General features: G+C 38.4%; 1 long non-coding RNA gene across 1 annotated transcript in view, besides 2 other annotated features; it reads right to left on the bottom strand.

The window, feature by feature from the left end:
- LOC105374685 (uncharacterized) overlaps positions 1–8914 on the bottom strand; it is a 63568-nt gene extending 54654 nt beyond the window's left edge. Inside the window, exon 1 of the long non-coding RNA XR_925848.3 lies at positions 5225–8914. This is a non-coding gene — a long non-coding RNA (uncharacterized LOC105374685). The remainder of the gene's footprint in view (positions 1–5224) is intronic.
- Positions 6963–7891: an enhancer, noted in NCBI's record as "OCT4-NANOG-H3K27ac-H3K4me1 hESC enhancer chr5:21614040-21614968 (GRCh37/hg19 assembly coordinates)". NCBI's record gives its function as "activates a minimal SCP1, AML or CMV promoter by ChIP-STARR-seq in primed H9 embryonic stem cells {active_cell/tissue: H9 hESC(primed)}" and the evidence as "EXISTENCE:reporter gene assay evidence [ECO:0000049][PMID:30033119]".
- Positions 7528–7822: a silencer, noted in NCBI's record as "tiled region #8629; K562 Repressive non-DNase unmatched - State 24:Quies". NCBI's record gives its function as "represses a minimal TATA promoter and a strong SV40 promoter by Sharpr-MPRA in K562 cells {active_cell/tissue: K562}" and the evidence as "EXISTENCE:reporter gene assay evidence [ECO:0000049][PMID:27701403]".
- Positions 8915–12178: the final 3264 nt, after the last annotated feature.

Below are 12178 nucleotides of genomic sequence, written 5' to 3'. Positions count from 1 at the left end.
TGGCAAGGGGGAAACTCGAGGGTTTAACGTGACTTTAAGATTTTAAATTACTGGAGGTTATTGAGATTAAATTTACTAAACTACTTTTACCAAAGATTACCAAGGTCATGTGAATTGAAAGTCAGCTGGGTTAGTTTCTACCAATCTGATAAGCATTTACATTTTCTAAGTTACTTGATTAGAGCTCTTTCCTGTGGTTTGGTAGTGATATATGAGTTCCACACGACACAAATAAAGATAGGGATATAACAGGCACTCAGAGTAAAATATATGTCCAAAAGATACTTTACTTGCCTGTATTCAAAAAAAATTTTTTCTCCCTTACTTTAGATAGTTAGTAAAAGTTACAGAAGCCAACAAAAGGTGAAGGAGAGAGCCATCATTCAAGGTCTTTTCAAAAGAATAAAAGTGGTACTTTTAAGATATCAATCTGAAGAATGTTAAAGAGGCAGATATTAAAATTTAACAATTTTTCATATTAAAAATAAGTTAATATTTGTAATAAAACTTGTTTTAAACAATTATTTAGTTTTGTATTAGTGCATTTTTAAATATCAACACTCATCTCTAGAAAGACTATTATAATTTCTTTTTAATCACAGCCAACTGAATTATAAAATCTCTTTAAAAATTACTTTTATTAATCTTATTATGACCTACATAGACCATTCACAACGTGCTTAAACTTTCTGTTTTTCCCCAAATATCCCCTTTTCTTGAACAAACCAGTCATTTTATTTTAGGGTAAAAATCCACCACACAACATTATTTCTTACATAAAATTCCTTTCCTTTTTACCTTCTTTACCAAAAAATACCTCTTTGTATCTTTAGCTTTGTGTCTCATTTCCTGATTTCTTTACCTTGTTTTATATATATCCCTTAAATAAGCTTTGAATTAGACAAAGATATTTACCTTTTAATGAGAAATTTAAACAATGTTTAAAATTGGAAATGACCCAGGTACTTAATATCAATTAATGACCTTAGATCTTAAATCGTGATGTTAGTGTACACGTATTTATTCCATTATTTACGTGATTAATTTATTTAATAGTTTAACTAGATTATTTACAAAAACTGTGATAGCCAATATTTAAAGTTATTTGCCTATTAGCAATTTTTTATATCTGTGAATTTCTGGTATTTACTTAAGTAATAAAACATATGGTTTCATTAAAGGGTACTTATTCCAATAACTCAGGATTTAGCTGTTTTCATTAAGCCAACAATATTTCATAAGCATACACAAGCAAAGATAACTCTGTCTTGGGCTGGGTTTTATAGTTTTATAACCCTTATGGCAAATCTTATAGTATTCTGCAGGAATAAACCCGAAATCATTTGATAAAAAAAATACTAACAATTCATAAGACATTGCTAATATCATTTTATCAATACTTTTAAAGACACCTTATTTATTAAAGAGTTTACTTAAGTCACGTGAACAAAAAGCATTTGACTAGTCTTGTTTTAAAGTATCTGATTTAAGCACTTGTATTTTTTAAGCCAATTAATTAGAGCTCTTTTATATATTTTTAGGAGTGAAACATTGTGTACACAACACATAAATAGATAGACGTATTAGGCATGCCAATGGAAGTACCTTTTATTGATTCATAAAGAACCCCCCCACTTTTTTTTTTCCTGTCTTAGACTTTCAGATTCTTGATAACCTGCTGACAACCCTAGGCAGTCGTCAGATAATGACTTATATTTGCATAATAAAGGAAACAACTTAAGTGAAAATCAAATAGCATAAGTAAATCATAAGGTACAGAGAGAAAAAGTCTGGTAGTGCTAGAGAGAGAGATGCTAAAATCAGGCAAAAACAGAATTCAGTCAACTAAGAAGAAAAAAACACTTTTTCCCCCCAAAAAAAGACAAGGTCTTAGAAGAGATAAACAACAAGAAGAAAAAAACGAAAACATGAAAGCTTTTAAAATACAAATACAAACATGCACACATATATGCACACATCATGGATGTTAGCCTTTTAATTAAGCTGACTTTTAACCATTGAGTTCCTTTTAAATAAATATTTTAAAATCTCTTATTACCTTATTTCGGCTAGGACAAAATGCTGCTATTTCAGAAGTACAGCCATTGCTCTTTCAGGTTGGTCTGGCTGGCAAAAAGGTGGTCTTGTTATATAAATAAAGCCCCTTTAGTAGTCAAAATAAAAAATCTTCCCTTTTTTTTTTTTTTTTCCTTTTGCTGGCCATTTTCCTCTCCTAACCATACCACCCTTTTGTGTGTGTGTGAGTTTTTAGCCATTTCAGCAGTCTTGTTCCCCGTGATTTGGCATTCCCCTTCAGATTTGACCAAGCTGGGACATGCGTCGGACTCAAAATGTGCCACTTGCAGACCTAGCTTTTCAGGGCCATTACTCCATGAACCGATTCAGACCACCTGTGTTGTGGCTACGTGGCACAGTGTGTCAGGGGCTCAAGGTCCGGGAGGGGTCATCTCCTTATATACACCTGCCAGCCCTAAGTACATTCTTTTTAGGGGGAAATCTATTTAGAGCCACTGCATATCTCAGGGAGTGTTCCTCCCAAACACCCTCATGTGATTCTCAGTTGCCTGAGAATGCCCCAAAAGGATGAGGCAAGTGCGGTGCTCTTATTTATTTGGAGTAGAAGATTCCACACTCATGAGCTAGAGGGTTATGAGTTGGTCAAATCCGATAAGGGAAAGGACCAAAACACACACACATACACACACACACAAAATCCAACAAGACAGAAACAAACAACAAAACAGTTAAGCAAAACTAAGAATGATCACACAAATTACAAGATTTCTGAGTGCTCTAAGAGTAAGCAGAAATTAATGCCAGGTGGTTGTTAATGCTAACTTTAGTCATTTAAGAAGAATTTGCAAGACAGAATCCCAAATCAGTTTCTTACCTAATGTTGCATCTCAGGCTATAGACTGCTCTCTACCATCTTAGAAGCAGGAAACAAAACAAAACACTAATCTTTCCTGTTGGAAGTGAGCTCAAACTCCATAAAGGAGTTACCGGCCTTCCATCACTATGGAAGCAGGAAAGCTTGCATTCCTCATTGGAAGCAAGTAAAACTCCCAAAAAAGAGGGGTTGTACAGCAAAATAAACTTTAGATATTGATAAAATGTTGGAAGATCAGAGATTTTCTGGAGGGGTGTTCTCAGATCTCAGCAAATTGTCCTATTGGTGTGAGCCATAAAATCTCATGCTGGTACCAAGCACCAATAGAAGATTTGTCAAAGGTCAGAGTCATCTTCACTCAGAATCCCTCTGTGGTTACCAAAAAGGTGAACCCAGAAAATCTGAGACAGGTCTCAGCTAATTTAGAAAGTTTATTTTGCCAAGGTTTAGGACACGCACCCATGATGCAGGCTCAGGAAGTCCTGACAACATGTGTCCAAGGTGGTTTCGGTGCAGCTTGGTTTTATACATTTAAGGGAGGCATGAGACATCAGCCAAGTATATTTAAGAAATACGTTGGCTTAATCCAGAAAGCTGGTGCAATTCAAAGTGGGGGCTTCCAGGCTACAGGTAAATTTAAACATTTTCTGGTTGACAATTGGTTGAGTTTGTCTAAAGACCTGGGATCAGTAGAAAGGAATATTTGGGTTGTGATAACAGTTGTGGAGACCAAAGTTTTATCATGCAGATGAAGCTTTTAGCTAACAGGCTTCAGAGGAAAACAGGCTGTAAAATGTTTCTTAACAGACTTAAAGTCTGTGTTGATGCTGATGCTGGAGATGTATAATGAAGCATGTCTGACCCCCACTTCCCTTCATGGCCTGAACCAGTCTTTCAGGTTAAATTTTAAGAGCCCTGGCTGAGGAGAAAGTCCATTTAGGTGATTGTGGGTGGGCAGGGGGTGGTTAGGATTTTATTTGGTTTACAAATTTTAATCCCCGATGTTGGAAGTGGGCGTTGGTGGGAGGTGAGAGGTGAGTGGATCATAGCAGTGAGTTTTCCCCTTTGATGCTGTTCTGGTGATAGAGTTCTCATGAGATCTGGTTGTTTAGAAGTTTACAGCACCATCCTTCTCTCTCTCTTTCTCCTGCCCTGGCCATGTAAACACGCCGCTTCCCCTTCTGCCATAACTGAAGGTTTCCTGAGGCTTCCCCAGAAGCCGTCAAGCTTCCTGTAGAGTTTGTGGAACTCTGAGTCCATTAAACCTCTTTTCTTTATGAATTACCCAGTCTCAGGTATTTTTTAATAGCAGTGTGAGAATGGACTAATACTGGGATACTTGGATTCATACTAGGCAGTTGTAGAAGATAAAACAATATAAACATAATAGGGATAGACAGGGCATAGTTTCCTTTTTTTATTTTTATTTTTTCATTTACATTCTTTTTTATGCTTTAAGTTCTGGGCTACATGTGCAGAACATGCAGTTTTGTTACATAGGTATACATGGGCCATGGTGGTTTGCTGCACCCATCAACCCATCTTCTACATTAGGTATTTCTCCTAATGCTATCCCTCCCCTAGCCTCCCATCCCCCAACAGCCCCCAGTGTGTGATGTTTCCCTCCCTGTGTCCATGTATTCTCATTGTTCAACTCCCACTTATGAGTGAGAACATATGGTGTTTGGTTTTCTGTTCTTGTGTTAGTTTGCTGAGAATGATGGTTTCCAGCTTCAGCCATGTCTCTGCAAAGGACATGAACTCATCTTTTTTTATGGCTGCATAGTATTGCATAGTGTATATGTGCCACATAGTTTTCATTTCCAAATCTAGACTTTGGATTTTGTGTGTAGTTGACATTGTGCTGAGAGAGTCGGGCTCACCCTCAGGAATGAAAATTCAGTTTCCATTTGTTGGGAGGACTGGCTCCCTTCCTCAGTTAAGGATGATGCTGATGAGTTACCTCAGGTGTTGTGAATGCATCAAGTATCACAGCTGAACTCCTGCCTCCGTCCCATCCTACTCACTTCCCTGCCCCCACAGGCATTTATCTGGGCATATCTCTGAATAAGGAAAACACACTGTTTTTACACTATACTCTCGGCTATTCTCACTTCTGACATCAAATGTTAATTTTCGTTTTCCCACACCAAGCAATTCCCCAATTCTTTGCAGACACAAACTGAATGCCCTACAATTTAGCTCAATTCGGACACTGTCTACCTGGAGAGAGCGTAAAATCCCACAGATTAAGAGGTCAGATCCACAAGACTTCCCCTATGTCAGATACCAATAACAAGTCCAATTTGTTACCTGTGCTTCGGGCTGACTGGCTGTAAGTCAGAGATTCCCATGTCCCCTTTCTCAGGTTCCACCATTTGCTAGAATGGCTCACAGAACTCAGGAAAACTTTGCTTAGGGTTAGCATATTGTTATAAAGAATAAAACTCAACAGCAGCCAGATGGAAACGCTGTATAAGGCAAGGTATGAGGGAAGGTGCACTGAGCATTCATGCCCTCTCCACGTGCTCCACCCTCTGGATGCCTCCAGCACATCCAAGTGCTCACCAGCCTAGAAGCTCTGCAAACCCCATCCTCTTCGGTTTTTATGGAGGCCTTATTACATACACATGACTGACTCAATCATTGGCCATTAGTGACTGACTCAACCTCCAATCCCTCTTTTCTCCCAGAATATCAAGGTAGGGACTGAAAGTCACAATCACTTAGTTGGTTCCCCTGGCAACCAGCCCCTATGCTAATGCTATCCAGTAACTGCCCCCCAGCACCAGTCCTCTCACTAGCATACAAAAGACACATCATCTCAAAGATTGCAAGAGTTTTAGAAGCTGTATGCTGGGTCATGGGGGCAGAGATCAAATATATTTCTTATTATATTACAACTTCCTAATAAACTTGATGCACACTAATCCCTATTGGAGAATCTATTTTCTTGGGAACTTGACTTTTAATAATCGCAAAATATGAAAAAAAGGTATTATAGAATATTTAAGATGCAAAAAAGTACATAAGACAGTTAATACAATTGCTTCTTTTCTTTTTTTTTTTTTCCTTTTTTTATTTGCGACGGAGTCTTGCTCTGTCGCTCAGGCTGGAGTGCAGTGGCGCTATCTCGGCTCACTACAACCTTCCTCTCCCAGTGAGAGACAGGACTAGCTGGATTTCCTAGGCCGACTAAGAATCCCTAAGCCTAGCTGGGAAGGTGACGCATCCACCTTTAAACACAGGGCTTGCAACTTAGCTCACACCTGCCCAATCAGGTAGTAAAGAAAGCTCACTAAGATGCTAATTAGGCTAAAACAGAAGGTGAAGAAATAGCCAATCATCTATCGCCTGAGAGCCCAGGGGGAGGGACAATGATCGGGATATAAACCTAGGCATTCCAGCCGGTGACGGCAACCCCTTTTGGGTCCCCTCCCATTTTGTGGGAGCTCCGTTTTCACTCTATTAAATCTTGCTGCTGCACAGTCTTCTGGTCTTTCTCAGGGCTGGAGCTGAGCTGAGCTTCCGCTTGCTGTCCACCACTGCTGTTTGCCCGTTGCAGATCCGCCGCTGACTTCCACCCTTCTGGATCTGGCAGGGTGTCAGCTGTGCTTCTGATCCAGCTAGGCGCCCATTGCCACTCCCGATTGGGCTAAAGTTTTGCCATTGTTCCTGCACAGCTAAGTGCCCAGGTTCGTCCTAATCGAGCCGAACACTAGTCGCTGGGTTCAACGGTTCTCTTCCATGACCCACAGCTTCTAATAGAGCTATGACACTCACGCACGGCCTAAGATGCCATTTCTTGGAATCCGTGAGGCCAAGAACCCCAGGTCAGAGAACAAGAGGCTTGCCACCATCTTGGAAGTGACTGCCACCATCTTGGGCGCTCTAAAAACAAGGATCCCCCGGTAACACCGGGTTCAAGTGATTCGCGGGCCTCAGCCTCCTGAGTAGCTAGGATTATGCACCACGCCAAGCTAATTTTTGTATTTTTAGTAGAGATTGGGTTTCACCATGTTGGTTAGGCTGAATTGCTTTTCTTTTAACATGTTTGAGTTTAAGTTTCTCCTCTTCTCTCCAAAGCACCAATAAAATGATATAAAAAAGAAAAAACTATAAAAGAGCAGAAAAAAAAGATAAAAGAAAAAACACTCAGTGAAAAATTTCTACAAATTTCTGCAAAACAGAAAGAATGTGAGGGTCAGTAGTCATGAAAAGGAAAGCAATAAAAAGAAGTAGCCCAAGATAAAACAGGAGTAGGCTACAATGGGGGAGAAAGCCAAGGGTTGTTAAAACAGAAAGTAACAACTAAAAGTCCTTCTCAAATTCGATGTATATTACAATGGTAAATATACAATCAACAAAAGGAATAAAATAACAAATTTCATTGATTAAGAGGAAGTGGGGACAGAAGGCTTTGTATATTTAAGATAAATCTCATCTTTCCTTGGAAGGCCTCAAGAGACATTGTTGCTGAACACAGGTTTGCCCACTCTCCACTTGCAAAATCAAATAACAAGCACGAGGGCGGTAAAAAGAAAGTGCTTAATTCCCAAGCTTAGCAATGGGAAAGGGCTAGATTCATATGTAAATGACCCACTTCAGCTTTGTGGGCAGAAAGCAGGGTTTTAAGAAGAGAAATTTTGGTATGCAGGGTATGCAGAAGAGGCATGGAGGTGGTGGTTTATGTGACTTTCTTGGGGACTCATCTCAATTAATAGGTCATCTGGTAGTCGGGCTGGCACCACTGCAGACAGATTCGGCCTGTAGTTTCCTGGTGGGGGAGAATTCTGGAGGGTGCTTGGTTTGTTTCAAGACTTGGTCCCTGGATCTTCTAAGCAAACATACAGCTAACAATGCTTGTAGGCACTCTGGCCAGAGGAAAGGAAGGTAAAGGTTACGTTTGCATTCCTGAGATGCTAAGTGAGAGGTGAACACAAGGAAGAAGAGAGAAGTAAAGATAACTTTTGTCCTTGCGATACTTTGCTGAGAATGATGGTTTCCAGCTTCATCCATGTCCCTACAAAGGACATGAACTCATCATTTTTTATGGCTGCATAGTATTTAAAAAAAAAAAAAGATAACTTTTAAGAAAATGGCATACTCAGTTACAGTACATTCAATTTATAACTTTAGACTGGTATATGGTAACTAAGGCTAGATAATGGAAAACAATTCTATATTCAAAATGTATTTAAAAAGTGAGATATATTAGGGGTAAGAAAGGTTAGGGAAAATATATGGGTGTGTGTTTTGTTTGTTTGTTTGTTTGTTTTTGCAACAGTGACTTTGCCTAGTTTAGAGGTTATTTAAAGAATGGATTAAACTGAGAGAATAAAAGGAAAAAGAATGAGATGGATTAACTGAATGGATATAGAACGTTGGGAAAAAAGAATAAAAATTGTGAAAGCTTAAAAAATGTTTACAGAAATCTTGTGTAGTCAAAGCTAGTTGAGGTTTGATGGATCTCTTTAGAAGCTTCCATTAAAATTAGGTTTACTATTTATAATACACTGATGCAAAGTACCATTCCGTTTTTTCTTTTGAACACGATGTTTATATATTATTCATAAGATAGTAAAAGACACTCAGTTTTCCAAACAATCAAAAGACCTAAGAAAGATAGCATGAGACCAACAGAATCTGTTTCTCTTTCTCCCTCTTCCCTTACTCCCTTTTTAACAGATTACTCAAAAGATATACAAACAACTCTATAATTAACCTAACACTCTATGGTCATTCAGTAATGATAGTCAATAGCTCATCAATGTTATTTCTGTAAATCAATTAGAATTCCTTACAAATAACTTTTGTAATTGCAACTATTCAGATTCATCCTTTTTTCTTTAAAGACTTGAGCCTCTCCTTTGTTCTCTTGAGCACTTCCCAAGGTAACTTGGAAGTGTTTCTGGGCTTCAGCCCTCAATATTCACTCAAATAAACTGTTTATTATTACCTTAGCCTCAATTTCTTTCTTTATGTTGACAGTATTGCTATTAGTTTTCAAGATTGGGTGACTAAGAAAACAGAAGCAGGACTTTTTTTTGGTTGGTAGTTTTTTAACTACAATTTCAATCTCACTGCTTGTTATTGGTATGTTCAGGTCAGGGTATCTAATTCTTCCTGACTTAAGCTAGGAGGGTTGTATCTTTCCGGGAATTTATTCATCTCTTCTAGGTTTTCTAGTTTATGTGCATAAAGATGTTCATAGTGTGGCAGGCCAGGTTTCACTAATGCAGGCTTCCATCACCACTGTTTCAGTACTGACTGAGTGGTTAAGTTCAATATTAAAAGCTAAAAAAGGAAGCCAGTGCTCTTATACAAAGACTGGGATAGAACAAAAGCCCATCAAGAGTTTTGCCTAGGCCTTTCCTGGGCCTTAAAGCATGACAAAATAGCAAAGGAATTCTTAACGGGACTTATTTTGGATTGAACAAGTTTTATTGGAGTCTGAATAAACTCCTCAGGCCTTCACAAACAAGTTTATTGGGGGTCTGAAGGAACTCCCCAAAACTCCGTGATGTAGCAGGAGGCAAGATAAGGGTAATCACCCCATTTAGAGTCAGTAAACTTACTGAGGTTCCAGAAGAAGGTCTTCAGGACTGAGACCTTAGGTATAGATGAAAAGAAGTCAATCACTTACGTCTTTAAATGAATGCACACTTACATGTATATGTATAGCTTAGAAGGTATATAAGCTCTGAAAAACTTTGTAATTTTGAGTTGGTCAGGTGATAATTTCCAGGCCTTCTTCCTGTAACCAGTTACAGAAATAAAACTCTCTTTCTCCCCAGTTCATCTGCATCTTGTTATTGGGCCATGAGAAACAGCAGCCTGACCCTCAGTTGGGTCCAGGAACAATAGTAGCCTTGAATGATCTTTTGTATTTCTGTGGTGTCAGTTGTAATATCTTTTATTTCATTTCTTAGAGGTTATTTGAATTTTCTTTCTTTTCTTGGTTAATCTTGCTAATGGTCTCTCAATTTTATTTATCTTTTCAAAGAATGAGCTTTTTGTTTCATTTATCTTTTTTATTGTTTTATAGTGGCACAGTTTTCAAGTTCAAAATCATAGAACCAAACCAAATGACCATCAAATAAAGAGTAGATAAAGAAACTGTGGTATATATATACAATGGAATACTGCTTAGCCATAAAAAGGAATAAACAGCATTCGCAGCAACCTGGATGAGATTGGAGATTATACTCTAAGTGAAGTAATTCAGAAATGGAAAACCAAACATCATATGTTCTCAGTGATACGTGGAAGCTCAGCTATGAGGACACAAAGGCATAAGAATGATACAATGGACTTTGGGGACTTGGTGGGGAAAGGTGAGAAGGTGGTGAGGGCTAAAAGCAAATAGTGTGCAGCGTATACTGCTCGGGTGATGAGTGTACAAAATCTCATAAATCATCACTAAAGAACTTATGTAACCAAACACCTCCTGTACACTAATAACCTATGGAAAAATTAAATAAACAAATAAAATAGCTAATTAAGTTAAAAGAAACAAACAAAAAACAAACAAATGGAAGCAGCAGGACAGGAAGAAACAGTCGTCAGTAACAGCAGCTGTTTAGAAGGATCATTGTAAACATTTTTGGTTTAGATGCATGTAGAATAAATCCTAAAACCTGTTCAGCAGGCCACTGGAATGGGACAATAACATATGGGAAACAGTTAAACTGTATATTCTATTATGTTACTTTAAACAAAATATTTTGGAATGTTAATCATCAGGCTTCCTATACATTCTTCTCTTTCCCTTTTGATTTAAGGGGATGGAAGTACCTTGAAATTGTCCAGGATTGTTACAGCAGAAATGCAAAGAGAGGCTAGGCTGGGTGTGGTGGCTCACCCCTGTAATCCTAGCATTGTGGGTAACCCCGGTAGGAGGACTTCTTGAGTCCAGGAGTTTGAGACCAGCCTGGGCAACATAGCGAGATGCTGTCTTCGAAAAACAAGGGAAAAAGAAAAAAAAAAAAAGAAAAGAAATGTAAAAACAAAGACACAGCAAAAAAAAAAAAAAAAAAAAAATTAAAAAGTCCTAACTAGGCCCTTGACAGTCAACAGTCTAGGAACAGACAGGATGAGAACATCAAATTGATCACACAGAAAACTTTAGAAAGTGTATAGAAAGGAAAAGAAAGAAATGGTTGGTGGCCCACGTAAGAGTAAAGGAGAATCATATGGAATTGAACAGGGTTGACAGAGTGACAGGCTTATGGTCATGAAGGAAGGCCAGCGTCAAAGACAAAAGGATGTGTTCTGGAGGATTTGCGTACACTCATCAAAAGATAGGAGCAGTATGTGGCCAGCCAAGTGCAAGACGACGTAACAGCTGAAAACTGTAACTCTTCATTCAAGCAAGCAGCTCACCCCATCTGAAGAGAGGCCAGATGGGCTTCACCTTCCTACAGAACAAATGCTTCCCATTGACCATTGCTTTTAAACCACCAGAGCCTCTTTCAGCAGAGAATGCCCTTTTGTGCTGTGAAATTTTTTGAGTCCCCGTCAAAACTCCCTTGTTTGCTTTGCCACAACCAAAGACATTTGTAAGCATCTCAAAAGCACAGAAGGCCCTTGACTTCTAAAGGGACTGTGGTAAGATAAGCTTTGGAGGATAATGGGGCTGGGCGTGGGGAAAGGCATACTTACATTATTCAATTTAGCAGTTAATCATATATTAGCATATTGTCGCTTTATTTTATGATGTCTATAAATGCTGTTTTTTTTCAAATTTAGTAAAGTCTTGATTTAAAAAGACATTCTTCTGCAATAATCTCATGTTCTCACATAGAACAAGGCCTATAATGAACATTCATTAACACTTGTTGACTTAATTCTTAAAGATTAGAAATGTTTCATTATATTCCCATTATATTCCTTGAGGACTTTTTAAATCCCACTTACAGTTATGCTGTATTCTGAAAAAGACTGATTTAAAAGATAAGTATGAATACATAAAAAATATTAAGTATACCCTGAAATGACCAAACATTGTTGAAATACATATATTTTTTTTTTGAGACAGAGTGTCACTCTGTTGCCCAGGTTGGAGTACAGTGGCACAATCTCAGCCCACTGCAACCTCCAACTCCCGGGTTCAAGCGATTCTCGTGCCTTAGCCTCCTGAGTATCTGGGATTACAAATGTGTGCCACTACGTCTGGCTAATTTTTGCATTTTTTGGTAAATACAGAGTTTTACCATGTTGCTGGTCTCGAACTCCTGACCTCAAGTGATCCGCCCACCTCAGCCT

This window comes from Homo sapiens, chromosome 5, assembly GCF_000001405.40.
Source record: "Homo sapiens chromosome 5, GRCh38.p14 Primary Assembly".
NCBI lineage: Eukaryota > Metazoa > Chordata > Mammalia > Primates > Hominidae > Homo > Homo sapiens.
The sequence above is the reverse complement of the archived record's forward strand: the minus strand, read 5'-3'. Positions and strand labels throughout refer to the sequence as shown.